Source organism: Homo sapiens, chromosome 20 (genome assembly GCF_000001405.40).
Source record: "Homo sapiens chromosome 20, GRCh38.p14 Primary Assembly".
NCBI lineage: Eukaryota > Metazoa > Chordata > Mammalia > Primates > Hominidae > Homo > Homo sapiens.
Genome location: NC_000020.11, coordinates 32,738,707 through 32,763,692, shown reverse-complemented (window position 1 = coordinate 32,763,692; position 24,986 = coordinate 32,738,707). Strand labels below are relative to the sequence as shown.

The 24,986-nt window shown below is 49.2% G+C and overlaps 2 protein-coding genes across 21 annotated transcripts in view, besides 22 other annotated features; one reads left to right on the top strand and one right to left on the bottom strand.

Annotated features, from left to right (window-relative positions):
- The window catches only part of DNMT3B (DNA methyltransferase 3 beta), a 46,972-nt gene extending 45,664 nt beyond the window's left edge, over positions 1–1,308 (bottom strand). For all 13 annotated transcript variants that reach the window (NM_006892.4, NM_001424351.1, NM_001424355.1 and 10 more), the window contains exon 1: positions 994–1,308. The gene's annotated coding sequence lies outside the window, so the exon portion shown is untranslated. The remainder of the gene's footprint in view (positions 1–993) is intronic.
- Positions 278–377: a silencer, noted in NCBI's record as "silent region_12809". NCBI's record gives its function as "represses an Ori minimal core promoter by ATAC-STARR-seq in GM12878 lymphoblastoid cells {active_cell/tissue: GM12878}" and the evidence as "EXISTENCE:reporter gene assay evidence [ECO:0000049][PMID:35858748]".
- Positions 948–1,587: a silencer, noted in NCBI's record as "silent region_12808". NCBI's record gives its function as "represses an Ori minimal core promoter by ATAC-STARR-seq in GM12878 lymphoblastoid cells {active_cell/tissue: GM12878}" and the evidence as "EXISTENCE:reporter gene assay evidence [ECO:0000049][PMID:35858748]".
- Positions 1,715–2,380: an enhancer, noted in NCBI's record as "H3K27ac-H3K4me1 hESC enhancer chr20:31349119-31349784 (GRCh37/hg19 assembly coordinates)". NCBI's record gives its function as "activates a minimal SCP1, AML or CMV promoter by ChIP-STARR-seq in naive H9 embryonic stem cells {active_cell/tissue: H9 hESC(naive)}" and the evidence as "EXISTENCE:reporter gene assay evidence [ECO:0000049][PMID:30033119]".
- Positions 1,848–1,897: an enhancer, noted in NCBI's record as "active region_17722". NCBI's record gives its function as "activates an Ori minimal core promoter by ATAC-STARR-seq in GM12878 lymphoblastoid cells {active_cell/tissue: GM12878}" and the evidence as "EXISTENCE:reporter gene assay evidence [ECO:0000049][PMID:35858748]".
- Positions 2,604–3,151: an enhancer, noted in NCBI's record as "H3K4me1 hESC enhancer chr20:31348348-31348895 (GRCh37/hg19 assembly coordinates)". NCBI's record gives its function as "activates a minimal SCP1, AML or CMV promoter by ChIP-STARR-seq in primed H9 embryonic stem cells {active_cell/tissue: H9 hESC(primed)}" and the evidence as "EXISTENCE:reporter gene assay evidence [ECO:0000049][PMID:30033119]".
- Positions 3,152–3,700: an enhancer, noted in NCBI's record as "H3K4me1 hESC enhancer chr20:31347799-31348347 (GRCh37/hg19 assembly coordinates)". NCBI's record gives its function as "activates a minimal SCP1, AML or CMV promoter by ChIP-STARR-seq in primed H9 embryonic stem cells {active_cell/tissue: H9 hESC(primed)}" and the evidence as "EXISTENCE:reporter gene assay evidence [ECO:0000049][PMID:30033119]".
- Positions 6,254–7,239: an enhancer, noted in NCBI's record as "OCT4-NANOG-H3K27ac-H3K4me1 hESC enhancer chr20:31344260-31345245 (GRCh37/hg19 assembly coordinates)". NCBI's record gives its function as "activates a minimal SCP1, AML or CMV promoter by ChIP-STARR-seq in naive H9 embryonic stem cells {active_cell/tissue: H9 hESC(naive)}" and the evidence as "EXISTENCE:reporter gene assay evidence [ECO:0000049][PMID:30033119]".
- Positions 7,240–8,226: an enhancer, noted in NCBI's record as "OCT4-NANOG-H3K27ac-H3K4me1 hESC enhancer chr20:31343273-31344259 (GRCh37/hg19 assembly coordinates)". NCBI's record gives its function as "activates a minimal SCP1, AML or CMV promoter by ChIP-STARR-seq in naive and primed H9 embryonic stem cells {active_cell/tissue: H9 hESC(naive and primed)}" and the evidence as "EXISTENCE:reporter gene assay evidence [ECO:0000049][PMID:30033119]".
- Positions 10,445–11,018: an enhancer, noted in NCBI's record as "OCT4-H3K27ac-H3K4me1 hESC enhancer chr20:31340481-31341054 (GRCh37/hg19 assembly coordinates)". NCBI's record gives its function as "activates a minimal SCP1, AML or CMV promoter by ChIP-STARR-seq in primed H9 embryonic stem cells {active_cell/tissue: H9 hESC(primed)}" and the evidence as "EXISTENCE:reporter gene assay evidence [ECO:0000049][PMID:30033119]".
- Positions 11,019–11,592: an enhancer, noted in NCBI's record as "OCT4-NANOG-H3K27ac-H3K4me1 hESC enhancer chr20:31339907-31340480 (GRCh37/hg19 assembly coordinates)". NCBI's record gives its function as "activates a minimal SCP1, AML or CMV promoter by ChIP-STARR-seq in naive H9 embryonic stem cells {active_cell/tissue: H9 hESC(naive)}" and the evidence as "EXISTENCE:reporter gene assay evidence [ECO:0000049][PMID:30033119]".
- Positions 11,593–12,166: an enhancer, noted in NCBI's record as "OCT4-NANOG-H3K27ac hESC enhancer chr20:31339333-31339906 (GRCh37/hg19 assembly coordinates)". NCBI's record gives its function as "activates a minimal SCP1, AML or CMV promoter by ChIP-STARR-seq in primed H9 embryonic stem cells {active_cell/tissue: H9 hESC(primed)}" and the evidence as "EXISTENCE:reporter gene assay evidence [ECO:0000049][PMID:30033119]".
- Positions 12,392–13,032: an enhancer, noted in NCBI's record as "NANOG-H3K27ac-H3K4me1 hESC enhancer chr20:31338467-31339107 (GRCh37/hg19 assembly coordinates)". NCBI's record gives its function as "activates a minimal SCP1, AML or CMV promoter by ChIP-STARR-seq in naive H9 embryonic stem cells {active_cell/tissue: H9 hESC(naive)}" and the evidence as "EXISTENCE:reporter gene assay evidence [ECO:0000049][PMID:30033119]".
- Positions 13,033–13,674: an enhancer, noted in NCBI's record as "OCT4-NANOG-H3K27ac-H3K4me1 hESC enhancer chr20:31337825-31338466 (GRCh37/hg19 assembly coordinates)". NCBI's record gives its function as "activates a minimal SCP1, AML or CMV promoter by ChIP-STARR-seq in primed H9 embryonic stem cells {active_cell/tissue: H9 hESC(primed)}" and the evidence as "EXISTENCE:reporter gene assay evidence [ECO:0000049][PMID:30033119]".
- Positions 13,675–14,316: an enhancer, noted in NCBI's record as "OCT4-NANOG-H3K27ac-H3K4me1 hESC enhancer chr20:31337183-31337824 (GRCh37/hg19 assembly coordinates)". NCBI's record gives its function as "activates a minimal SCP1, AML or CMV promoter by ChIP-STARR-seq in primed H9 embryonic stem cells {active_cell/tissue: H9 hESC(primed)}" and the evidence as "EXISTENCE:reporter gene assay evidence [ECO:0000049][PMID:30033119]".
- Positions 14,317–14,958: an enhancer, noted in NCBI's record as "H3K27ac-H3K4me1 hESC enhancer chr20:31336541-31337182 (GRCh37/hg19 assembly coordinates)". NCBI's record gives its function as "activates a minimal SCP1, AML or CMV promoter by ChIP-STARR-seq in naive H9 embryonic stem cells {active_cell/tissue: H9 hESC(naive)}" and the evidence as "EXISTENCE:reporter gene assay evidence [ECO:0000049][PMID:30033119]".
- Positions 15,900–16,842: an enhancer, noted in NCBI's record as "OCT4-H3K4me1 hESC enhancer chr20:31334657-31335599 (GRCh37/hg19 assembly coordinates)". NCBI's record gives its function as "activates a minimal SCP1, AML or CMV promoter by ChIP-STARR-seq in naive H9 embryonic stem cells {active_cell/tissue: H9 hESC(naive)}" and the evidence as "EXISTENCE:reporter gene assay evidence [ECO:0000049][PMID:30033119]".
- Positions 18,731–19,675: an enhancer, noted in NCBI's record as "OCT4-H3K27ac hESC enhancer chr20:31331824-31332768 (GRCh37/hg19 assembly coordinates)". NCBI's record gives its function as "activates a minimal SCP1, AML or CMV promoter by ChIP-STARR-seq in naive H9 embryonic stem cells {active_cell/tissue: H9 hESC(naive)}" and the evidence as "EXISTENCE:reporter gene assay evidence [ECO:0000049][PMID:30033119]".
- Positions 19,971–20,200: a silencer, noted in NCBI's record as "silent region_12807". NCBI's record gives its function as "represses an Ori minimal core promoter by ATAC-STARR-seq in GM12878 lymphoblastoid cells {active_cell/tissue: GM12878}" and the evidence as "EXISTENCE:reporter gene assay evidence [ECO:0000049][PMID:35858748]".
- The window catches only part of COMMD7 (COMM domain containing 7), a 40,769-nt gene continuing 36,008 nt past the window's right edge, over positions 20,226–24,986 (top strand). For all 8 annotated transcript variants that reach the window (XM_047439932.1, NM_001099339.2, XM_017027685.3 and 5 more), the window contains exon 1: positions 20,226–20,385. In XM_047439932.1, coding sequence (XP_047295888.1) covers positions 20,302–20,385 — 84 coding nt within the window. In that variant the 5' untranslated portion in view covers positions 20,226–20,301. The remainder of the gene's footprint in view (positions 20,386–24,986) is intronic.
- Positions 20,381–20,450: a silencer, noted in NCBI's record as "silent region_12806". NCBI's record gives its function as "represses an Ori minimal core promoter by ATAC-STARR-seq in GM12878 lymphoblastoid cells {active_cell/tissue: GM12878}" and the evidence as "EXISTENCE:reporter gene assay evidence [ECO:0000049][PMID:35858748]".
- Positions 20,563–21,390: an enhancer, noted in NCBI's record as "H3K27ac-H3K4me1 hESC enhancer chr20:31330109-31330936 (GRCh37/hg19 assembly coordinates)". NCBI's record gives its function as "activates a minimal SCP1, AML or CMV promoter by ChIP-STARR-seq in primed H9 embryonic stem cells {active_cell/tissue: H9 hESC(primed)}" and the evidence as "EXISTENCE:reporter gene assay evidence [ECO:0000049][PMID:30033119]".
- Positions 21,435–21,609: a silencer, noted in NCBI's record as "fragment chr20:31329890-31330064 (GRCh37/hg19 assembly coordinates)". NCBI's record gives its function as "represses an EF-1alpha promoter that drives an FKBP-Casp9 reporter gene in an ReSE screen in K562 erythroleukemia cells {active_cell/tissue: K562}" and the evidence as "EXISTENCE:reporter gene assay evidence [ECO:0000049][PMID:32094911]".
- Positions 22,060–22,561: an enhancer, noted in NCBI's record as "OCT4 hESC enhancer chr20:31328938-31329439 (GRCh37/hg19 assembly coordinates)". NCBI's record gives its function as "activates a minimal SCP1, AML or CMV promoter by ChIP-STARR-seq in primed H9 embryonic stem cells {active_cell/tissue: H9 hESC(primed)}" and the evidence as "EXISTENCE:reporter gene assay evidence [ECO:0000049][PMID:30033119]".

Below are 24,986 nucleotides of genomic sequence, written 5' to 3'. Positions count from 1 at the left end.
AAGCCTGGGCCCAAGGGCAGCGCAGTCTTACAACTTGTTAGGTCTTTCTCCGCTTCCACTTTCTCCCCGATAAAGTGGAGCTCAATACACCCTCCCCATGCAACCACGAGCCGGGAAGCTTATCTTCCAGGAGCTGGTGCTAGAGGTTTTGAGGCCTTAGTGTGCGAGTCTGGGAAGTGGGGCCAGCCGCACACGGGAGTTAGGCTAAGAATGGAAGGTAAGACCCCAGGGTAGGCGGCGTGGCCGGGACAGGGAGGCGCCGCCCCTCCGGCCGGCTCCTCCCGGGCCAGGTGTGCACAGGCAGAGGGCAGCCCCGCTGCTCCCCGCGCTTGATGGCTCAGCTCAGGAGCACCCCGGGAGGTCGCCCTCTGCCTCACGCCCTCCACGGCGCACACCCCAGCCCGCGCGAGTCTAAGCCCACACTCACGAGCTCTTTCCTAAAGCTGGGATTGGGGGAAGGGACAGCGCCTCGCCTGAAGACCCCACATCCCAGTTGCAAGGGGCGGACGCCCACCTGCATGGCAGAAACCCCTCCTCACCTCCTCTGCCCCTTAACTTTTCCCAAGGCAGAGGCCAGGTAATTACACCCCCTGCCCATGAGCAAAGCCCCTGTTCATGCTCTCGACGGGCACCTCCTCCTCCTCGAGTCTGGACCCCGGGAAGCCAGCGCGTCCCCCTCCCTGCGAGCAAGCTTCTCTCCTCTTCGGGCTCCTGGAGGCAGCAGACGCGTCCCTTCCTCTAGTATCTCCGGTCCCCGTCAGACGTATGTCCCCCGCGTCCCACCCGCTGTCCCCGTTCCACCCCAAGCAGGGTCCGTGGACGTTTCCTCACCCCGCAAACCCAGCCGGGTCTCCAACCCGGCGAGAGCCCCTCCTCGGGAGGTCCCTGGAGAGGGTCTCTCCCCGGCAGCTTCGGGAGCCCCCGCCGTCCCCTCCCCTAGCAGCCCTCGAAGCAGCTGGCGGCCGAGCCTCCCCGGGGCCCCGGGGCGCTCACCTGCCGCAGGGCTGGCTGGGGCGCGGCTGGGCGGCGGAGCCGCGGGTCGGGGCTGGCTGGCGGGAGGCCGGCTGGCGGCCGTGCAGGGCGCTGGGCTCGCGAATCTCCGGCGCCGATCGCCGAGCTAGGTTTACTTGGGCCACTTAACCCCAGCGCTGCCGGCCGGGCAGCGTTGCCGCCCGCTCGCCCGACCGCCAGGGAGCCGGTCCCGTCCGTCGGGGGGCGCTCGGAGCGTCCACGCGGGCTGCGGCCGCGGAGCCGGGAGCAGCTGCTGCGAGGAAGCGGCGCGGGCCGGACGGGGCAGCGGGAGTGGGTGGGGAGGGGGCGGTGCCGACTCCCCTTGTAGCCCCGGCCCGGCTCTTGCCCCGCCCCCGCCCGGGGGTGCCCCCGCCGCAGCCACTCAGATCCCCGCCCGGGCGCGGGGGGAACGGGGGGGCGGGGACGAGGGAAATTTGAAATCGCTCGGAGCCTCCCCTCCGCCCCTCTCCGCGGGCTCCGCCCCCTGGCCCCCTGCCCTCCCAACCCCGGGCCAGTGAAATCACCCTGGGGGATCAGAAGCCCTAAGCGGGAGGGGTGGGGTCAGACGTCCAAAACCAGACTCCTTCTGGGGCCTTTTTCCCGGGCTCCTTTCAACCCGAACGGAGACACACACACAGGCCTGGAGGCGGGGGCTCAGAGAGGGCAGGGCCCCCACTGTAGTCACACAGCACCAGAGTCTCCGCTTTAACCCCCACCTCCAGCCGCAGTGCCACCGGGGCGCCGCGGTGCCCCTGCCTGTCATCCTGCTTTGGACCCTCTGCCTCGCCCTTCCTCCCTTCCTTCCACCCAGCCCGGCCTTTGTCAGCCATCTTGAAGGGAGGGGAGGGCAGGGGAGGGGAAAGAAGACCAGCGGGTCTCTGGCTACCTGGGTTCCAGACCCTGCAGGCATGGACTGACTGAGGGAGAAGCCGCCCTCAGCAGGTCTCCCCACCTCTGCCCTGGGATGACCATTGAACCACTGGAAAACAGCACTTCCTAAAATTTATCTGACCTGGGACTTACATATTTGCTTGTTTACCTGCTTGTGGTCTGTCTCCACGCAGTAAACTAAGGACAGGATCTCAGTAGATGCTCAATAAATATGTGTTGAATGAATGAATGATTTATATCGCCTGTAAGCCCCTATAGGAGCCTCCCCTTTCAAGGTATATGCTACCTTAACCCCTCTCTGCCTTCACTCCAACTTCTCTGCTGCTCCTCAATACACCAAGCGTTTCCTTGTGATGGTGACTTTGACCTCGCTGTTCCCTACACCTGGACATTTCTTGCCCAGATCTTTGCAGGACCAGATTCTTACCCCTCGGTTTTCTCCCAGAAGGTCACTTTATGGAGAGGCTTTTCCCGATGACTCCACCTGAAGTCTCCCCTGTCCATCACTCCTATCCTATTTCATTCTGTTCCTAGCACTTACCGCGATCTGAAATTGTTTTGCATATCTGTTTTCCTGTTTACATTCCCCTACACACACACACACACACACACACACACACACACACACACACACACACACTATGGGAGCAGAAACCACATCTGTGTGGGTCTCCAAGTGCTTATAGTGGATGGGGGATGCATCAAAAAGGAGCTCAATACAAGTTTGTTGAATGAATGGGCATGGGTTTCCTGCCTTATGGGCTCCAGCTCCCTGAGTTACTCCACAGCTTTCTCCCTGTATCTCTTACCAGGTGAGTAAATGAGTGAAGGGTTAATTCTTTGGATGCCGCAAAAGTGTCTATACTTACTGGATCTTATTCTACCTAAGAGCTTGGGGAGAGGCTAGGGAGATACCAGAGAGAAATGGGCTCAGCTCAGCGCCCTGCCTGGCGCCCAGCAGGGCCTCTTGTGAATGAACAGCAGGACTCCTTGGCTTTCTGGCACAAACATACAAATTGGTGTCCAGTCCATTGGTGCAGGAAGAAGGGGGTCTCTCTGGAGAGGGCCTGTAGCTTGTCTCCACCATCTGGGGCACATCTTTTGTTTTGTTTTGTTTTGTTTTGTTTTGTTTTGTTTTGAGACAGAGTCTCAATCTGTCACCCAGGCTGAGTGCAATGGCGCGATCTCGGCTCACTGCAACCTCTGCCTCCTGGGTTCAGTCTCCTGCCTCAGCCTCCCAAGTAGCTCGGATTACAAGCGCCTGCCACCATGCCCGGCTAATTTTTTGTATTTTTAGTAGAGACGGGGTTTCGCCATGTTGGCCAGGCTGGTGTGGAACTCCTGACCTCAGGTGATCTACCCACCTCAGCCTCCCAAAGTGCTGGGATTACAAGCATGAGCCACCATGCCCAGCCTGGGGCATATTGTTGTTGGAAAGAAAACAGCATATATAAACAGGCCTGAAGCTGGGCGTGGTGGCCCACGCCTGTAATCCCAGCACTTTGGGAGGCTGAGGCAGGCAAATCACAAGGTCGGGAGTTCGAGACCAGCCTGGCCAACATGGCGAAACCCCATCTCTACTAAAAATACAAAAAATTAGCCGGGCGTAGTGGCGGGCGCCTGTAATCTCAGCTACTCGGGAGGCTGAGGCAGGAGAATAGCTTGAACCTGGGATGTGGAGGTTGCAGTGAGCCGAGATCACTCCACTGCACTCCAGCCTGGGCAACAGAGGGAGACTCCATCTCATAAAAATAAAAATAAAAATAAAATAAATAAACAGGTCTATGGGGAGGGCTCCTGGGCCTCTGTGTCTGAACCCTAAGCTAGGAACCCACAGCTAAACCCTGTGTCCTGAATTGTGGCAGAGGATGCCTGTGCCACCAGTGGGAACTCCGGGGAGGCCCAGTTCAGATGCCAAAGGGCTGGATTTTCTGGGACCACCTAAACCCAGGAAGAAAAAGCAGAAGGTTGGGTGAGCAGGTTGTCTCAGTCCCATCACTTGGGAAGGAGCAGGAATGTTGGGAGAATGGGTAGAAAAATGGCCTGATATCTCCCCAGGGCATAGAACTTCTTTTTTTTTTTTTGAAACAGAGTCTCATTCTGTTGCCCAGGCTGGTGTGCAATGGCTCAATTTTGGCTCACTGCAAGCTCCGCCTCCCGGGTTCACACCATTCTCCTGCCTCAGCCTCCCGATTAGGTGGGACCACAGGCGCCCACCACCACGCCTGGCTAATTTTTTTGTATTTTTAGTAGAGACAGGGTTTCACCGTGTTAGCCAGGATGGTCTCGATCTCCTGACCTCGTGATCCGCCCACCTCGGCCTCCCAAAGTGCTGGGATTACAGGCATGAGCCACCACGCCCGGCCCCCACAGAACTTCTTTACAGTTCTTTTTTTGAGACAGAGTCTTGCTCTGCCACCCAGGCTGGAGTGCAGTGGTGTGATCTCAGCTCACTGCAACTTCCGCCTCCCAAGTTCAAGCAATTCTCCTGCCTCAGCCTCGTGAGTAGCTGGGATTACAGGCATGTGCCACCATGCCTGGCTAAATTTTGTTTGTTTGTTTGTTTGTTTTTGACTAGAGACAGGTTTTCACCACATTGGCCAGGCTGGTCTGGAACTCCTGACCTCATGATCCACCCGCCTTGGCCTCCCAAAGTGATGGGATTACAGGCTACTGCCGTCCAGCCTTTCTTTACAATTTTAAAAGTGCATTGATCAAATTCATCATCTCACCTAAGCCTCACTGCCACCCATGAGGATGTGAGGCAAGGAGAACTGGGGGCCCCATTTCAGATGAGACTGAGGCCCAGAGAAGGAAGGGATTACACAGAGTGAGTCAGCTGTGTAATCAAACCTTGACTGAGCACCTACTGTGTGGTCACCTTGCAATGTTTACTTAAAATTGTATTTTAGGCTGGGTGTGGTGGCTCACACCTGTAATCCCAGCACTCTGGGAGGCCAATGTGGGCAGATCACGAGGTCAGGAGATTGAGACCATCCTGGCTAACACTGTGAAACACCGTCTCTACTAAAAAATACAAAAAATTAGCCGGGCACAGTGGCAGGCGCCTGTAGTCCCAGCTACTCAGGAGGCTGAGGCAGGAGAATGGCGTGAACCCAGGAGGCGGAGCTTGCAGTGAGCCGATATCGTGCCACTGCACTCCAGCACTCCAGCCTGGGCGACAGAGCGAGACTCCGTCTCAAAAAAAAAAAATTGTGTTTTAACAGATCACAATCATTATAATCATGAAGGTGAGGAATATTCATTAAGGGGATACATATTCTGTGATTACAGACCATTTGTTTCATCACCCAAAGCAACAACACATAGATAAGAGAGTGTCCTTGCTCTTAGGAGATGAACACCAAATTATTTAGAAGAGGCAGCCGGGCATTGTGGCTCACGCCTGTAATTCCAGAACTTTGAAAGGCCAAGGCAGGAGGATCCTTTGAGTTAAGTTCAGAAGCAGCCTGGGCAACAAAGTGTTGCCTGTCTTTACTAAAGATCAAAAAAATTAGCCAGGCATGGTAGCCTGTGCCTGTAGTCCCAGCTACTCAGGAGGCTAAGGTGGGAGGATCCCTTGAGCCTGGGAGATGGAGGCTACAAGTGAACCATGATCCTGCCACTGCACTCCAGCCTGGGCGACAGAGCAAGGCCCTGTCTCAAAGAAAAAAAATAAAAAAAGACACAGTATCACCAATTTACTCTTAAATAATTCAGAAAAATAATATGCATATGTATGGGTCAGGGAGATTGCTAAAGCAAAGAGGACAAAATATGAACCAAATAGATAATGTGGTTTAAAAGACATCCAGGAGTTCCTTGAACTAGACTTACAACTCTTCTATAAATTAGATATTATATTAAATAAAAATTTATTCTTCAGAAAATTAAGGGCCAGGCACGGTGACTCCTGTCTGGAATCCTAGCACTTTGAGAGGCCAAGGTAGGAGTATCGCTTGAGCCCAAGCGTTTGAGACCAGACTGGGCAACACAGTGTGACCCCCATCTCTAAAATAAAATAACATTATAAAGAAAAGCCACATGTACATATATAGATCCTAGACACTCTTATGCTAATAAATCAACACACTGATGGGCTGACACACATGTTATAGTTAACTTACATTTCTGTTAAATTATACCATGACCTTTCAGTTCTTAGAGCAGCTACAGGTTTTTAATAACAAATGTAAAGTGCTTAGCACAGTGCCTGCTGCATACTAGACACTTAATGTATGATAGAAATTTTTGTGAGCATGTGTTATTACCTCTTTATGCCACAATTTCTTCATCTTTATTTTTATTTTATTTTATTATTTTTTTGAGACAGAGTCTCACTCTGTTGCCCAGGCTGGAGTTCAGTGGTGCGACCTTGACTCACTGCAAACTCTGCCTCCCAGGTTCAAGTGATTCTTCTTCCTTCCTCAGCCTCCCGCGTAGTTGGAATTACAGGCGCGGGCCACCACACTGGGCTAATTTTCGTCTTTTTAGTGGAGACAGGGTTTCACCATGTTGGCCAGGCTGGTCTCAAACTCCTGACCCTAAGTGATCCTCCCACCTCAGACTACCAAAGCGCATCTTTAAAATAGAGATCATTTTTCCTACTTCCTAGGGGTTTCCTGAGAATTATGAGTTAATACATGTAAGGCATTTTGAACAGTGCCTACCACATGGAAAATACCATAAAAATGCTTGTTAAATTTTATATATATATATACACATTTTTTTTTTTGAGACAGGGTCTCACTCCGTCACCAGAGCTGGAGTGCAGTGGTGCGATCTCGGCTCACTGCAACCTCTGCCTCCCCGTTTCAAGAGATTCCCCTGCCTCAGCCTCCCGAGTAGCTGGGATTACAGGCGGGTGCCACTACGCCGAGCTAATTTTTTTTTTGTACTTTAGTAGAGAGGGGGTTTCACCATGTTGGCCAGGATAGTCTCGATCTCCTGACCTCATGATCCGCCCGCCTCGGCTTCCCAAAGTGCTGGGATTACAGGTGTGAGCCACTGCGCCTGGCCTATATATTATTATTAATGAGTATATGCTGCACTGCTTTCCTGGCTGCCTCAGCTCTTGGCAGGTGTGGGATAAATGTTCTCCTTCCATCCTCAGTGTCTGCCAAATAGTCCTGTCTGTCCCTTGGTCTCCCAGCCTCTCAGGCAAGCCCAGTCCACCTCTAGTATCTAGTATCTAGTGCCTCTCCTTATAGTGAAGGAAAATGAGGTTCAGAAAAGTGAAGTGGTTTGCCTGGGGCCTACAGCTGGCAGAGCTGGGACTAGATCCTCCACTCGACCCCCATCTCCCTGTGACCCCCACTCTGTGTGTGCTATGCTAAGGAGTTCGAGCCTCAAGCATCTCCCTTGTCTAATTGGAGTAATAATAATAATAATAGCCATGCCTACTTCCCAGAATGACTGTGGGGATTCGCAGAGCCCATGTATGTGAAAGAACCCCATTGTAAGGTATTCAGTCCTAATGGTAGTGCCATTAGAGGCCACGTTCATTTGCAAAGTGGGTTCCTCACCTTTCACTTTCAACAGGAACACCCAGACTCCTATTCTCCTTTTTTTAACCCCAAAACGGGTCATTGAAATATTTTCCTTAAATGTACCTAGCTAGACAAGTACACAGAGCCTGGCCAGGTCATATTCATTATTTATTATTGTTATTATTATTATTATTATTATTATTGAGACAGTCTTGCTCTGTCACCCAGGCTGGAGTGCAGTGGTGCGATCTCAGCTCATAGCAACCTCCGCCTCCCAGGTTCAAGCGATTCTCCTGCCTCAGCCTCCCAAGTAGCTGGGACTACAGGCACCCGCCACCATTCCTGGCTAATTTTTGTATTTTTTAGTAGAGACGAGATTTCACCGTGTTGGCCCGGCTGGATCCATGCGCTTCGGCCTCCCAAAGTGCTGGGATTAGAGGTGTGAGCCACCGCACCCAGCCATTCATTAATTATTATTAAATAAGCAATTTCATAATAGCTGCTGAGAGCCTACCATGTGCTCAGGCACTTGAGCTAAACATTTTATGTGTATTACACTTTGACTCTCACAACACCCTTGTGAAGTAGGAAGGAGTCTAATCTCCATTTCACACGTGGGATAAACAAGGCCCAAACGGGATTGGGATGGAGGGAGTTCATCCATCTCTCTCTATCCCCTGCAGAACCAGCACGGAATTTCCTTCCCTGTTTCTGTCATTGGTGGAGGAGGGGTGTGCATATTTCTTTAATTTTTTTTGAGACAGAGTTTCGCTCTTGTTGCCCAGACTGGAGTGCAATAGCGCGATCTCAGCTCACCTCAACCTCTGCCTCCTGGATTCAAGTGATTCTCCTGCCTCAGCCTCCCCAGTAGCTGGGATTACAGGCATGAGCCACCAAGCCTGGCTAACTTTGTATTTTTAGCAGAGACAACATTTCTCTGTGTTGGTCAGGCTAGTCTCAAACTCCCGACCTCAGGTGATCCACCCGCCTTTGCCTCCCAAAGTGTTGGGATTATAGGCGTGAGCCACCACGCCTGGCCAGGGTGTGCATATTTATTGAATTATTGAATTCACTGAACTCTGTGCCAGGCACTGTGGTAAGGAATAAAGCTGAGAAGAAAAATGCAAAGTCCTTTTACTGCCCTCCCGGAACTACAACTGAGTAGAGGAAACAGACATTCATCAAATTTATCTCACTAATAGTTGTAAGATTACAATTGTACTTTTTTTTTTTTTTTTTTTTTTGGAGACAGAGTCTTGTTCTATCCCCTAGGCTGGAGTGCAGTGGCTCGATCTTGGCTCACCGCAACCTCTGCCTCCCGGGTTCAAGTGATTCTCCTGCCTCAGCCTCCCAAGTAGCTGGGATTACAGGCGTGTGCCACCACTCCTGGCTAATCTTGTATTTTTAGTAGAGATGGGGTGTCTCCATGTTGATCAGGCTGGTCTCAAACTCCTGACCTTGTGATCCACCCGCCTTGGCCTCCCAAAGTGCTGGGATTACAGGTGTGAGCCACCACACCTGGCCGGCCTACAATTGTATTAAATGCTATGACGAGTACAGGGTATTATAAAATGAAAATTAATTAGGTCATGGGGCCTGAGAAAACTTTCCTGAAGAAGTAAGTCACGTTTTGGGAGGCTGAGGCGGCAGATCACTTGAGGTCAGGAGTTCAAGACAAGCCTGGCCAACATGGTGAAACCCCATCTCTACACAAATACAAAAATTAGCTGGGCATGATGGTGGGTGCCTGTAATCCCAGCTACTTGGGAGGCTGAGGTGTGAGAATTGCTTGAACTTGGGAAGCGGAGGTTGCAGTGAGCCAAGATCACGCCACTGCACTCCAGCCTGGGTGACAGCGAGACTCCATCTCAAAAAAAAAAAAATCAGCAGGACGTGGTGGCATGCTCCTCTAATCTCAGCTACTCGGGAGGCTGAAGCAGGAGAATCACTTGAACCTGGGAGGCAGAGGTTGCAGTGAGTCAAGATCCTGCCACTGCACTCCAGCCTGGGTGACACAGCGAGACAGTCTCAAAAAAAAAAAGAAAAAAGAAAAGAAGCAATGCTCATGCAGGGATCTGAGGGGATGCAATGGTTAAGTAAGCAGCAGGCTAAGGGGTGAGGGAAACGTGTTCTGGGATTTGGGAACAGCACTTGCTAAGCTCCTGAGGCACAAGGAGCACGGCTTGGGCAAGGAACAGAGGGGAGGCCCACATGGCTAGAGCACACAGCTGAAGAGGAAGGCAGACTCAGGTGAAGAAGACAGGAATCAGAGCATCCACGCTTTCAGCAATTGGAGCCTTTGCAGGGTTTTCAGTGACGTGATCAGGTCAGAGTGAAATATTCTGCACCATGCCTAGCACAGTGGTAGTTAATAGAAGACAGGATGCCAGGCATGGTGACTCAGGCCTGTAATCCTAGAACTTTTGGAAGCCGAGGCAGGAATATCATTTGAGCCCAGGGGTTCAAGACCAGCCTGAGCAACATAGTGAGACCCCATCAGAAAAAAAAAAGAAAAGAAAACAGGAAAGCCCTCCCTTCATTCTGCAACAGTCTCTATGTCTGTGGATAATGTTTTATCCCGTTTCTCCAGACAAGACATCAAATGAATGAATGCTTGTTATTTATCATAATAGTAGCAGTTATTATTATTGGATGCCGTACAGTGGCCCTCGTGAGAAAAGGCTTAACTGCAAATCAAAATCTGTGATTTGTCTTTCTGGCTTTTGACTTGGGGTCCAGAGCTGAATCCACTGATTTCTTTCTCCATCCTGGCCCTTGAAAGAGATGCCATGCCTCACTCTGTTGGACATCACCTGTTTTTGCCCCTTGGAGAATACCCCATGGCCCCCTCCAAATTTGATGTTGTTCATGAAATGAAGTAACATTGACTTTATTTTGTTGTTGTTGTTGTTTGTGTTGTTTTATTTATTTATTTTTTTTGAGATGAAGTCTCACTCTGTAGCCCAAGCTGGAGTGCAGTGGCGCGATCTCAGCTCACTGCAACTTCTGCCTTCTGGATTCAAGCGATTCTCCTGCCTCAGCCTCCTGAGTAGCTGGGATTACAGGCGCCCACCACCACACCTGGCTAATTTTTGTATTTTTAGGTGAGATGGGGTTTCACCATGTTCACCAGGCTGGTCTTGAACTCCTGACCTCAGGTGATCTGCCTGCCTCGGCCTCCCAAAGTGCTGGGATTTTAGGCATGAGCCACCGCGCCTGGTCACATTGACTTTAATTCATTCACACTTTGAGCTTTCTGAGAGCAGGGACCACATCTACCCCCACATTAGGTAATCAGTAAATGTTCGTTTCCCTGAAGCCCTGACTCATCATTATCTCATCCCTCACCCTCAGACAAAACAGAAAGTTTCCCTGGACCTGAGTTCCTTCATTTTTGGAAGCTCAGGCTTGACTTCTGAGGAGGGTAAGATGGTTAAGGGGAAAAGTTCAGCGGTCTAGGTTCTGTTCTCATTCTCCTATTAACCCACTGTGTGACCTCAGACAGGTGTCTTCCCTTCTCTGGGCGTCTGCTTCCTTCACTGTCAAATGGGGCAGATAGTGTAGCATGGAATGAAGCCCAAAACCTTAGTGTCATTCTTGATTCATCTCTCTGCTTCTTGGATTCTACTTCCTGGATTTGTTCTGGGTCCAGACTCAGCCTGCTCTACCGTTTTGAGATAAACATAGAGGGGATGGATTCTTCTTGTCCAAACCTGTTCTTATCTCCTCTGGTCAGGGCCCTCAGCCTCCAATCTTCACGACGTCCATATACACAGCATGCTGATAACCCTGGCTGCAGGCCAGGAAATGATTACCAAGTTATGCTGACCTGCAGAGTAGAGGGAGAAGGTAGGGGTGACATGCCCAAGACCCCAGGGCTTCCCCCTCAATTGCTCCTTTCCTAAGGCCCCACAGAGGCTAACTGCTCCATCTGCTTACCTTCCCTCCGCCGGACAGGTTTACCCCCATTACACCTGTTGACAGCCCCCCACTCTCCTTCCTAGCATTTTTCTCCTTTGCAATGTCTTTCCGTGACTCTTCATATAAGGTGTGCCTCCCTCATTAGATTTTGAGCAGTGTAGAGGCAGAGCAGTCATCTATCTTATTCATTGCTGTGTCCCTGACACCCAACACAGGACCTGGAATATAGTAGGTGCTCAACAAATACCTACTACTGGAATGAATGAAGCGACTCCTCTATCTTTCAGATGATAAAAATAGTCCAGAAAAGAAAGTTCTAGAGGTCAGTCCCCCAAGATTACACCCCGGATTGTGTTCACAGCACCCAGCAGTGATATGCATTGCTGGCCTAAAGCAGGGCAGGCCAGGCATTCACTTTATAATGGTTCTGCAGAGAAAAACAAAGCGGACAATAGAGATCCAGGCCTCATTTTCTCAGGCAAAGTGATTCCTACCATGAATTTGAAATGAGGGGTGAGATTCCCAAAAGGTAGAGACATTGTCACCCACACCCTCAAAGTAGGAACTGCCAAAGGGCTCTTTAAAAAGCAAATTTCTAGAGGGACAGCTTAAACATCCATTGGAGCTTAGGCCAGAGGATCTTAAAAAGGCTTAAACTTTACCCCAGAAATCCTGCCATTTGAAGGAAGATTTTTGAACAGGTAAACAAATTCATCACCATGTCCTAGATAAAAATTGGAGAATTGGAACTCTCCTGTAAGTCCAACAAGAGAAATTTATCTACATTAATTTACCTGTGTAAGGATGAAAAACTAGAGGTGAAATTGACTTATCTCCCTCTGGCTTCCAGCATGCTCAGAGCCAATTTAGAAATTAATCAGTGATCTCCACATTACCACATGTGTTGGCTCATTTTTTTCCCTGAACCATTTTATCCACTTTTACCTTGAGTACTTTGAGCATGCATTTCTTAAGAACAAAGACATTTTCCCATAACCAAATTACATTTATCAAGTTCAGGAAATTGAACATTGATACAATATTATTATCTAATCTACAGTGGGTGTTCAGACTTCAATTGTCACAATAATGTATTTTTTTAATTGTGGTTTTAAAAAAGCACATAAAATTTACCATTTTAACTATTTATTCTTATTTATTTGAGGACAAGTTCTCACTATGTTGCCCAGGCCTAGAACTCATAGACGCAAGGGATCCTCCTACTTCAGCCTATCAGATAGCTGGGACTACAGGAAAGAGCAACCATCTTAACTATTTCTAAGTGCAGAGTTCAGTAGTGTTAAGTACATTTATTTTGTGCCAATGTCTTTTATAGCAATTGTTTACCTCCATCCAGAATTACACATTGCATTGTTATCTTGTCTTTTTTATTTATTTTAATCTAGAGCAATTCTCCAGCCTTCCTTTGTCAATGACTTTCATGACATAGATGTCAGGAATCTAGGTCAACTGTATTTTTACATTTTTGTTACGTGCTTTTTTTTTTTCTTTTTTTTTTGAGACAGAATTTCGCTCTTGTTGTCCAGGCTGGAGTGCAATGGTGTGATCTCGGCTCACTGCAACCTCCACCTCCCGGGTGCAAGCGATTCTCCTGCCTCAGCCTCCGGAGTAGGTGGGATTACAGACATGCGCCCCCACGACTGGGTAATTTTTGTACTTTTAGTAGAGACGGGGTTTCGCCATGTTGGCTAGGCTGGTCTCGAACTCCTGACCTCAGGTGATCTGCCGGCCTCGGCCTCCCAAAGTACTGGGATTACAGGCATGTGCCACTATGCCCGGCCCAGTTTTTTTTTTTTAACCTGAAAATGTTCATAGTATTTTCTTCTAGTTTTTGTTAGAGGATCTAGCACTTGTCCCTTCTGTTAAAATGCCATTGGGCAACATGGGAGATCGTTGCTGCCATGGAAATGTTCTGCGTCTTGACTGTATCAATGTCAATATCCTGGTGATGACACTGTGGGATCTGTGCATCGAGGGAAACCGGGTAAAGGCCACAAGGAATGTCTCTGTATCATTTCTTAAAACTGTATGTGAGTCTACAATGATCTCAAAATTAAAAGTTTAATTTAAAAAAAAATGCCCTTTGGCATTTCAGAGTGTGAAGGGTTAGACCTTTCTCCTAGGGAAAACCTGGCCCCTTGGTGAAACTCCCAGCAGGAATCCTCCCTGCCTGAGAAACTACTTCTTAATGAACTCCTTTCACTTGCAGGCGCGGGGGAGGGGAGAGGGAGTGAGGACTTTCGTTGCCCTCCACAGGGACATTTTAAAGTGAATGAAGGGAGTAGGGTCCCTCATTAAGGCTGAAATGGGGGCAGGAGGTTCTCTAGAAGAGAGTCCTGGCTCCGGCCTGCATTTCCTGCTGCAAAGTTATCACATTAACAGTAATCACTGCTCCTTCCTTCCTCTAAGAGTGGATTGTGAAGGAGAAAATTGGAAAGACTTTTTTTATCTATTGCCTTTGTTAGTTACAAAGTTCTTAATGAGAAAGAAAAGTCAGAGAGTTCTAAATAGGCAACCACAAGGATTAGTTATGAGCATTTAATTCTTGCTCCATAGAATATTATGCAGCATTTTTGGACGATGTTTAGGTAGCATTTTATCATTGAAGCCAAAAATGAGATTTGAGATTTGGAGGCTAATTTAGAGGACTTGGATGTCTCCTCTTTGGGATGTAGGGGATGTGGGTTGGAAGGCGGGCAGGGCCTGGACCCGGAGCCTCATCAGGGAACTGCACCAGGTGCCTGTTCAGGCAGAAATGCTAATTTCTGGGTGTTTTCAGAGAGATGGTTCATGGGTAATGGTTTAGTTTCTGCTTACCTTGAAAATTCATCCGTCCTTGTGATATTAAAAAAATATATTGATACATAATATTTGTACATAGTTATGGGGTATATGTGATATTTTGTTGCTTTCATAGAATGTGTAATAATCAAGTCAGGGAATTTAGGGTATCCTTCACCTGAAGTATTTGTCATTTCTTTTCTTCCTTTTTTTTTTTTAATTGAAATGGAGTCTCACTCTGTCACCCAAGCTGGAGTGCAGTGGCGCAATCTCAGCTCACTGCAACCTCTGCCTCCCGGGTTCAAGCAATTCTCCTGCCTCAGCCTCCTGAGTAGCTGGGATTACAGGTGCCTACCAGCAAGCCTGGCTAATTTTTGTATTTTTAGTAAGGACAGTGTTTCACCATGTTGATCAGGCTGGTCTCCAACTCCTGACCTTGTGATCTGCCTGCCTCAGCCTCCCAAAGTGCTGGGATTGCAGGCATGAGCCTCCTCGGCCGGCCTTTTTTTTTTTTTTTTTTTTTTTTTTTTTTTTTTTTGAGATAGAGTTTTGCTCTTATTGCTCAGGCTGGAGTGCAATGGCACAATCTTGGCTCACTGCAACCTCCTTCTCTTGGGTTCAAGCTATTCTCTTGCCTCAACCTCCCAAGTAGCTGGGATTACAGGCACCTGCCACCATGCCCAGCTAATTTTTGTATTTTTAGTAGAGTTGGAGGTTCACCATGTTGGCCAGGCTGGTCTTGAACTCCTGACCTCAAGTGATCCACTTGCCTCGGCCTCCCAAAGTGCTAGGATTACAGATGTGAGCCACCGCCCCCGGCCCTTGTTCATTCATTCTCTCTCTCTCTCTCTGTTTTTTTTTTTTTTTTTTTTTTTTTGAGATGGAGTTTCGCTCTTGTTGCCAAGGCTGGAGTGCAATGGCGTGATCTCAGCTCACCACAACCTCCGCTTCCTGGGTTCAAGCAACTCTTCTGCCTCAGCCTCCTGAGTAACTGGGATTACAGGCATGCACCACCAGGCCCGGCTAATTTTTTGTATTTTTAGTAGAGACGGTGTTTTTCCATATTGGTCAGGCTGGTCTAGAACTCCTGACCTCAGGTGATCTGCCCGCCTTGGCCTCCCAAAGTGCTGGGATTACAGGTGTGAGCCACCGCGCCCAGCCTATTCATTCTTTATAACTACTTTTTGTGGTATCCATTAGACATCCTCATCTCTACCCCATCCCCATGACATTTAGAGCCCAGAAGGACTGAACATAATATTCCTTGCCTTCCTAGAAATTTTTCCTAAAGAAATAATCAGATGTGGAAAAGAATTGTGTACAGGAATGTTTATTGCCATATTCTTTTTATAAGATTGAAAAATTGAAATGATAATAATACCAAGCAGTTACTGAGCTCTTACCATAGTCCAGTTGCTGTGCTAAATGCTTTATAAGCATTGTCTTGTTTCATCTTTCCAAGAAGGTTATATTATCATTTCCATTTTATAAATAAAAACAGAAATAGAAGCACTGAAAGGTTAGTAATTTGCCTGAGACAAAATAATTAGTAAGTGGAGGAGACAGATGTATAAACGACAGCAATAACACATTGTGGTAAACATTAAAATAGAAATAATGGTTCATTCCTGGGTTTCAGCACACACAAAAAAGAAAAAGTAATATGAGCGACAATCAGTAGACAATGCAAAGTATTATTATCATTATACACGGTGTGTATTCAAATGCTTAAAATAAAGTCCTGCACAAAGTGAGCACTTAAAGTGGTTGTTATTATTTGCACTTCAAACTTTAATGTGCCCACAAATCACTTGGGAATCTTGTTAAAATTCAGATCCTGAATCAGCAGGTCTAGTAGACCTGAGATTCGGTATTTATTTTATTTATTCATTTGTTTTTGAGACAAAGTCTCACTCTGTCACCCAAGCTTGTGTGCAGTGGAGTGATCTAAGCTCACTGCAACCTCCACCTCCCAAATTCAAGCGATTCTCCTGCCTCAGCCTGCGGAATAGCTGGGATTGCAGGCATGTGCCACCACACCTGGCTAATTTTTGTATTTTTAGTAGAGACAGGATTTCTCCACGTTGGCCAGGCTGGTCTCGAACTCCCGACCTCAGGTGATCTGCCTGCTTCGGCCTCCCAAAGGGCTGGAATGAGATTCAGCATTTCTTTTTCTTTCTTTCTTTCTTTTTTTTTTTTTTTTGTGAGATATAGTCTCACTCTGTCATCAGGCTAGAGTGTAGTGGCCCGATCTCGGCCCACTGCAACTTCCGCCTCCCGGGTTCAAGCTATTCTCCTACCTCAGCCTCCCTAGTAGCTGGGACTACAGGCGCTTGCCATGACGCCCGGCCAATTTTTGTATTTCTAGTAGAGACGGGGTTTCACCATGTTGGCCAGGATGGTCTCAATCTCTTGACCTTGTGATCCGCCCGCCTCGAGCCTCCCAAAGTGCTGGGATTACAGGCGAGAGCCACCGCACCCAGCCTGAGATTCAGCATTTCTAACAAGCTTCCAGGTAACGCCTGCACTGCTGGTCCAAGGAACCACACGTGGAGTATGAGGGATTATTAAATAACTTGGTGAAATGCGAGAGTCCTGTGTATGTAAAACGAAAACAAATCACACAACCCCAGTGACCTGCGATGTGGAAAAAGACTGGAAAAAGGCCGGGCGCGGTGGCTCACGCCCGTAATCCCAGCACTTTGGGAGGCCGAGGCGGGTGAATCACGAGGTCAGGAGATGGAGACCATCCTGGCTAACACGGTGAAACCCCGTCTCTACTAAAAATACAAAAAATTAGCCAAGCGTGATAGCGGGCACCTGTAGTCCCAGCTACTCGGGAGGCTGAGGCCGGAGAATGGCGTGAACCCGGGAGGCGGAGCTTGCAGTGAGCCGAGATAGCACCACTGCACTCCAGCCTGGGCGACAGAGAGAGACTCCGTCTCAAAAAAAAAAAAAAAGACTGGAAAAGAAGAGTCACCATATTCCTATAGTATTGGGTGTCAGTTTCAAGTGAATTCCTTTCCTTTTCTGTATTTTCTGTCACATGAGCTAATTCCGTTCCACAAATACAGTATTTATCAAGTGACTCAGCACCAGTCACTGTGGAAGCAGAAATGAAAAGAAATCCAGTGGTTTTCTCCAGGATGTTAAAAACAAAACAAAACTTAAAACAGGTTCATTTTATTTTTTATACCTAAACAGTTGATTTAACACTTAAAGATATGAAGAAATGTAATGCCCTGATGGGGATCTTCTTTTTTTTTTCCCCCAACTATTTATTTATTTATTTTTGAACAGAGTCTTGCTCTGTCGCTCAGGCTGGAGTGCAGTGGTGGGATTTCGGCTCACTGCAATCTCTGCCTACTGGGTTCAAGCGATTTTCCTGCCTCAGCCTCTAGAGTAGCCGGGATTACAGGCATGAACCACCATGCCCGGCTAATTTTTGTATTTTTAGTAGAACCAGGGTTTCACTATGTTGGCTAGGCTGGTCTTGAACTCCGGACCTCAGGTGATCCACCGGCCTCAGCCTCCCAGAGTGCTAGGATTACAGGCATGCGTCACTGCGCCCAGCCCAGATCTTCTTTTTTAACAAGGTTAAAAATATTTAAAAATAAAAATTCCGGGCCAGGTGCAGTGGCTCACGCCTGTAATGCCAGCACTTTGGGAGGCTGACGCAGGTGGATCACTTGAGGTCAGGAGTATGAGACCAGCCTGGCCAATGCGGTGAAAACCCATCTCTAGTAAGAAGACAAAAGTTGGGCCAGGTGCGGTGGCTCGCGCCTGTAAACCCAGCACTTTGGGAGGCCGAGGCAGGCGGATCACCTGAGGTGGGGAGTTCAAGACCAGCCTGACCAACATGGAGAAACCCGTCTCTACTAAAAGTACAAAATTAGCCGGGGTGGTGGCACATGCCTGTAATCCCAGCTACTTGGGAGGCTGAGACAGGAGAATCACTTGAACCCGGGAGGCGGAGGTTGCAGTGAGCCGAGATCTCGCCATTGCACTCCAGCCTGGACAAAAAGAGCAAAACTCCGTTTCCAAAAAAAAAAAAAAAAGACAAAAGTTAGCTGGGTTTGGTGGTGGCCACCTGCATTCCCAGCTATTCGGGAGGCTGAGGCTGGAGAATCACTAGAACCCGGGAAGCAGAAATTGCAGTGAGCCGAGATTGTGCCACTGCACTCCAGCCTGGGTGACAGAGCCAGAATCTGTCTCAAAAAAAAAAAAAAAAAAAATTCTTGCACGGTGAGTAGGGCCTCTGAGTTCCTGTCTGTTTGTCACCCGAAGGTTTATTCTCTTCCAGGTACTCCAAACTCGGACTGTGTCCTGTACACATTCTCAAAGCACCTCCTACTTTTTGGCATCCCTTAATACTTTCACACACACTTGCGTCTGCCCCCTGGGTCAATTCTGACTTCTCAGAGGCCAGGCACTGCATCTGGTTCATCTGGTTGTGTCACTGTGGAATCCCCACCCCCTATCATGTCATGGTATCTGCCTCACAGCAGACCTTCTTTTTTTTTTATGGAGATGTGGTCTTGCTCTGTCGCCCAGGCTGGAGTGCAGTGGCGCCATCTGGGTTCACTGCAGTCTCGATCTCAAGATCTCAAGTGATCCTCTTGCCTCAGCCTCCGAGTAGCTGGGACCACAGGCATGTGCCACTCAATATTTGTTGAATGAATGTATGAATGATATAATGACTGAAGGGGATGGGCTTGGCCTTTGGGTAGAAGACTTTTTTGTTTTTTCTTTGAGACGGAGTTTCGCTCTTGTTGCCCAGGCTGGAGTGCAATGGCGCGATCTCGGCTTACCGCAACCTATGCCTCCCGGGTTCAGGGAATTCTCCTGCCTCAGCCTCCCGAGTAGCTGAGATTACAGACATGCACCACTACGCCCGGCTAATTTTGTATTTTTAGTAGAGACGGAGTTTCTCCATGTTGAGGCTGGTCTCAAACTCCTGACCTCAAGTGATCCGCCCGCCTCAGCCTCCCAAAGTGCTGGGATTACAGGAGTGAGCCACCGCGCCGGGCCGGGTAGAAGACATTTTGTTTATACTTTTACAGAAGGGATTTTCAGGAAAGGGTAGAGGAGAGGAGGAGGGCTGGTGAGGAAGGCCAGCCAAACCCCCCACATTTCCCTGCTCCAGGTTTCTCGGCATTACCTCTTTACCCTCAAGGCTGGACTTAGGGGCTAGGTGAAGCCCTTAGGCTTGGCGTTCAGTTCCTAGATTCTGGGTAGCATGTCTCTATTTTCTCATGTTTCCAGTGGGGATTAGGGTAATATTCACCTGGGAACTGTGAGGAGCCCCTGGGAAGAGAGGGCATGGGGGTTAGAGTGTTTGAGGGGCTGCAGTGATGATCACGGTCTCAGTAACCTCCCCTCACCCACCTCACCACCACCCTCCCTGCCCCGCACAGTCAAAGCCCTCGCACTATTTTGAGGAAACTTTGGTAAGTCAGTTTCTTCCACTCCAGAAGGTCTCAAAGTGTAGTCCCTGGGTGCTTATTGGAAATGCAAATTCTCAGGCTCCACCCTGGCCTTTCGAATCAGATCCTCTGGGGGCGGGGCCCGGCAATACCAGGTGATGCTGGGGTGATGCTGATGCCCTTCCAAGGTTGAGACCTAGTCTCTACTCTGATGTCAGCTCTCCGAGAGACACTCTGGCCTGCTTTGTTCCCTTCCCTGTCCCCAGTGTCTGGCATCGAGTAGGCTGCCATAAATATCTCTGGAGTGCATAGTAACAGTGATGATGATAATAGCAGCTAGCCATTGATTGAAGACCTCTTGTGTGCCGGTCTCTGCGTTAAACATTTCTGGAGGCTTAACTCATTTAAGGAGCTACCCCAGCCATCATTTTCTCAGATGGTGAAACTGAGGTTCAGAGAGGCCAAGCGCCGTACCCAAAGGTCACTCAGCGGGAGAGCTGGCAGGAAACCTCGCGTCTGCCGGTGCCGGCGCCGCCCCTGCCCCTCCCCGGAGCCCGGCGGCCGCGCGTGTCCGCGGCCCTGCGAGGGCTCCCCGGCTCCGGACAGCCCAGGGCGGCCGGGGGAGGAGTGCGCTGCGACGGCCGTGGCGAAAGTGCGGTTGTGGATGCGCGGAGAGGCCGGCAGCGGTGGCAGCGGCAGCGGAGGAGGAAGCTGAGCAGGGCGGCGGCGGCGGTGGAACCTGCGGGGCTGGGGCGCGCGCCATGGGCCGCCTGCACTGCACTGAGGACCCGGTGCCGGAGGCCGTGGGCGGCGACATGCAGCAGCTGAACCAGCTGGGCGCGCAGGTGGGCCCGGCGGCGGGGCGTGGGGCGCGGGGCCCAGGTGATTCCAGGATCCGGGCCTGGGGTGGGGGGGACGTCCGGGGGTGCGCGGGAGTTGGGAGAGACTAGACAGAGCGGCGTCTTGTGGGCGTTTGGGGTGTGTGAGGTGGGTTCGGGGCGAGGCTAAGGTGAGCTGGGGTCTGAGGAGAGTGTGGGGAGCCAAGGGATCTCCGGAGGCCTAAGGGCCACCTGAGGGGTCCGAAAGGCTTTGTGGGGTCTCAGAGATGGGACTACGGGACCTCTGCGGGGTCCTGGGGCCGAGGAGAGCTTTTGGGGTCCTAGAAGAGGGACGGAGGGGAGTCTAGATGAGGCTGAAGGAGTTTGGGGAACTGAAGGAACAGACTAAGGGCGTGGGGAGTTTTGGGGAGCAGTGGGGTCCAAAGGGAGATAGATGTTTGGCAGGGAGGCCGAGGAAGCCTGAGGGGAGTGGGAGGGCCCGAGAATCTGAGGGGGCCCGGGGAAGCTTGGCCTGGGCTGCCGTCTTACATCTCAGTGTGACATGAGTGTCAGTAATAGCCAGGCCCCACTGGGGCTCTGTGGGCCTGAGGGGCTCGATCTGGGACAAGGCTGATGACACCTTCCACCTCCACCCAGTTAAGGAGAGTCACTGGGATTCACATGGAAAGAAACCTTATACACTGTGTACAGTGGGGGTCTTCATCCTCGATGGTAGGGGAGCTAGCAAAGCCTTTTTCTCCCCCTTCAGGCTGCAGGTGCCAACCAAGGCAGTCTTGGAGGCATCCTGCTTCTGTGCTGGTTGGGATGCCTTTTCATACCACCAAGGCTGCTGAAATAGGTGAGAATGACACTTCTCACCCCCACTGGGAAGATACATCTATTTCCCCCGCTAGGTTGTCACTTCCCAGGAGGTAGCGCCCCTCTTCTTTCATCTCCATACCCCCCACAACTTCCCACACAGTAGTGCTGCTTGCGAGATAAAAACCAAACTTAGAACTTGTAACGACAGGAAGGTTCTAAGCTTGAGCTATGCAATAGAAAAATTTGCAAGCCACATTTCTAACTTTGCATTTTGTAGTAGCCACATTTAAAAATTAAATAGAAATGGAAATTAATTTTTTTTTTTTGAGACGTAGTCTCATTCTGTCACCCAGGCTGGAGTGCAGTGGCGCGATCTCGGGTCACTGCAACCTCCGCCTCCCAGGTTCAACCAGTTCTCTGTCTCAGTCTCCCGAGTAACTGGGACTACAGGCACACGCCACCATGCCCAGCTAATTTTTGTATTTTTAGTAGAGATGGGGTTTGACCATGTTGGCCAGGCTGGTCTTGAACACCTGACCTCAGGTGATCTGCCCACCTCAGCCTCCCAGAGTGTTGGGATTACAGGCGTGAGCCACTGTGCCCAGCCCTGAGTTTATCTTATGCAAGCATCCTAGAGTTTATTTACACAAACCTACTGCACCCTAGGATATATGGTATAGCGCATTGCTCCTAGGCTACAAACCTATACAGCATGTGACTGTACTGAATACCATAGGCAACTGGACTATAATGGTAAATATTTGTGTGTTTAGACAAATCTAAATAGAAAAGGTACAGTACAAATACAGTATAAAAGATAAAAAATAGGCCGGGCACGGTGGCTCACACCTACCCTAGGACTTTGGGAGGCCAAGGTGGGCGGATCACAAGGTCAGGAGATCGAGACCATCCTGGCCAACATGATGAAACCCTGTCTCTACTAAAAATACAAAAATTAGCTGGGTGTAGTGGCGGGCACTTGTAGTCCCGGCTACTCTGGAGGCTAAGGCAGGAGAATCGCCTGAACCTGAGAGGTGGAGGTTGCAGTAAGCTGCGATTGCACCACTGCATTCCAGCCTGGGCAATAGAGTGAGACTTCATCTCAAAAAAAAAAAAACAACTTTCTAGTTGGGTACGGTGGCACAGCTACCACAGTAGTCCCAGCTACTTGGGAGGCTGAGACAGGAGGATCACTTGAGCCCAGGATTTCAAGGCTGTAGTGCATGGTGATTCCACCTGTGAATAGCCATTGCACTCCAGCCTGGGCAGCATAGTGAGACCCCCATCCCTAAAAAAAAATTTTTTTTTTTCTGTTTTTGATAAGTTGACCTTAGCCTACTGTCAGTTTTTTTTTGTTTGTTTGTTTGTTTTAGACGGAGTCTTCCTCTGTCACCCAGGCTGGAGTGCAGTGGCGTGATCTTGGCTCACTGCAAACTTCACCTCCTGGGCTCAAGTGATTCTTTTGCCTCAGGCTCCCAAGTAGCTGGGACTACAGGCGTGCACCACCATGCCTGGCTAATTTTTGTATTTTTAGTAGAGACAGCGTTTCACCATGTTGGCCAGGCTGGTCACGAACTCCTGACCTCAAGTGATCTGCCTGCCTCAACCTCCCAAAGTGCTGGGATTACAGGCGTAAGCCATGCACCCTGCCAACTGTAACTTTTTACTTCATGAATGCTTACCTTTTTTTTTTTTTTTTGAGGCAGGGTCTCGCTCTGTCACCCATTGCTCACTGTAGCCTTGATCTCCTGGGTTCAAGCAATCCTTCCACCTCAGCCTCCCAAATAGCTGGGACTATAGGCACGCGCCACCATACCTGGCTAATTTTTGTATTTTTTGTAAAGACAGAGTTTTGCCATGTTGCCCAGGCTGGTTTTGTTAAACTTTTTGGCACTTTTGTAGTAACACATAGCTTAAAACACAAACATGGCTGGGCGCGGATTTCTGTGACAATCACTAGGTAACAGGGGATCTTTTACCTCCATTATAATGTTATGGGACCATCATTTTATATATGGTCCATCATTGATCAAAATGCCATGCATGCTTAAATCCACAATATCAAAATATTTTTCAATATCTTACCCATATACAAATATCAATGACATTTTACTTTTTGGTACAAAGTTTTCTAAATCTGGTGTTTTACACTTACGGCACATCTTAAAGTAGTTTAGCCCTTTTCTTTTTTTTTTTGAGACAGTGTCTGGCCCTGTTGCCCAGGCTGGAGTGCAGTGGCGTGATCTCGGCTCACTGCAAGCTCCGCCTCCCGGGTTCACGCCATTTTCCTGCCTCAGCCTCCCAAGTAGCTGGGACTACAGCTGCCTGCGACCATGCCCGGCTGATTTTTTATATTTTTAATAGAGATGGGGTTTCACCGTGTTAGCCAGGATGGTCTCGATCTCCTGACTTCATGATCTGCCCACCTCGGCCTCCCAAAGTTTTGGGATTACAGGTGTGAGCCACCGCATCCGGCCAGCCCTTTTCTTTTTAAAGACAGTCTCGCTTTGTTGCCCAGGCTAGAGTGCGGGGATGTGATCTCGGCTCACTGAAACCTCCGCCTACAGGGTTCAAGTGAGTCTCATGCTGCAGCCACTCAAGTAGCTGAGATTACAGGTGTTCACCACCATGCCCATCTAATTTTTTCTTGTATTTTTAGTAGAGATGGGCTTTCGCCATGTTGGTCAGGGTAGTCTCGAACTCCTGACCTCAAGTGATCCACCCACCTTGGCCCCCCAAAGTGCTGGGATTACAGGAGTGAGCCACCACCCCTGGTCAGATTAGCCCTTTTCAAGCGCTTATGTGGCAAGTGGCCACTGGACAATAGGGATCTAAGTGCTTTTATGTATTTTTTTTTTTTTTTTTTTTGATACAGAGCCTTGCTCTGTCACCGAGGCTGGAGTACAGTGGTGCAATCTCGACTCACTGCAAGCTCCACCTCCCGGGTTCACGCCATTCTCCTGCCTCAGCCTTCCGAGTAGCTGGGAGTACAGGCACCCGCCACTACTCCCTGCTAATTTTTTGTATTTTTAGTAGAGATGGGGTTTCACCGCTTTAGTGAGGATGGTCTTTATCTCCTGACCTCGTGATCCGCCCGCCTCAGCCTCCCAAAGTGCTGGGATTACAGGCGTGAGACACCGCGCCCAGCTTATGTATGTTAACTAATTGAGTCCTTGCAATCACTTTTATAGGTAGTTGCTGTTATTATTTTAAATTGAGACAGGGTCTCCCTATGTTGTCTAGGCTTGTCTTGAACTCATGGTCTCTGGTGATCCATCTTGGCCTCCCAAGGTGATGGAATTACAGGCATGAGCCACTGCACCCAGCCACTTATTATTATTCACATTTTACAGACGAAGAAACTGAATCACAGAGCAGTGAAATGAACATAGCTATTATACGATATTAATATATTGAGCATGCACCATGTGGCCAGGCACCATTTTAAATGTATGCATAACAACTCTAAAAGGAAGGCACTATTATTATTCCCATTTTACAGTTAAGAAAGATGGTTCAGAGAAATAAATTGACCTGTTTAAAGTCATGTAGACAGGAGTTCAAGACTAGCCTAAGCAACGTAGCAAGACTCCATCTCTACAATAAGATAAAAAATTAGCCAGGCATGGTGGCACACACCTGTAGTCCCAGCTACTCCAGAGGCTTAGGTGGGAGGATCACTTGAGTCAGAAATTGGAGGCTGCGGTTAGCTATGATTATGCCACTGCACTCCAGCCCAGAGAACAGACCAGACCCTGTTTCAAATAAATAAGTAAATAAAATCATGCAGAAAGCCAGGCAAGGTG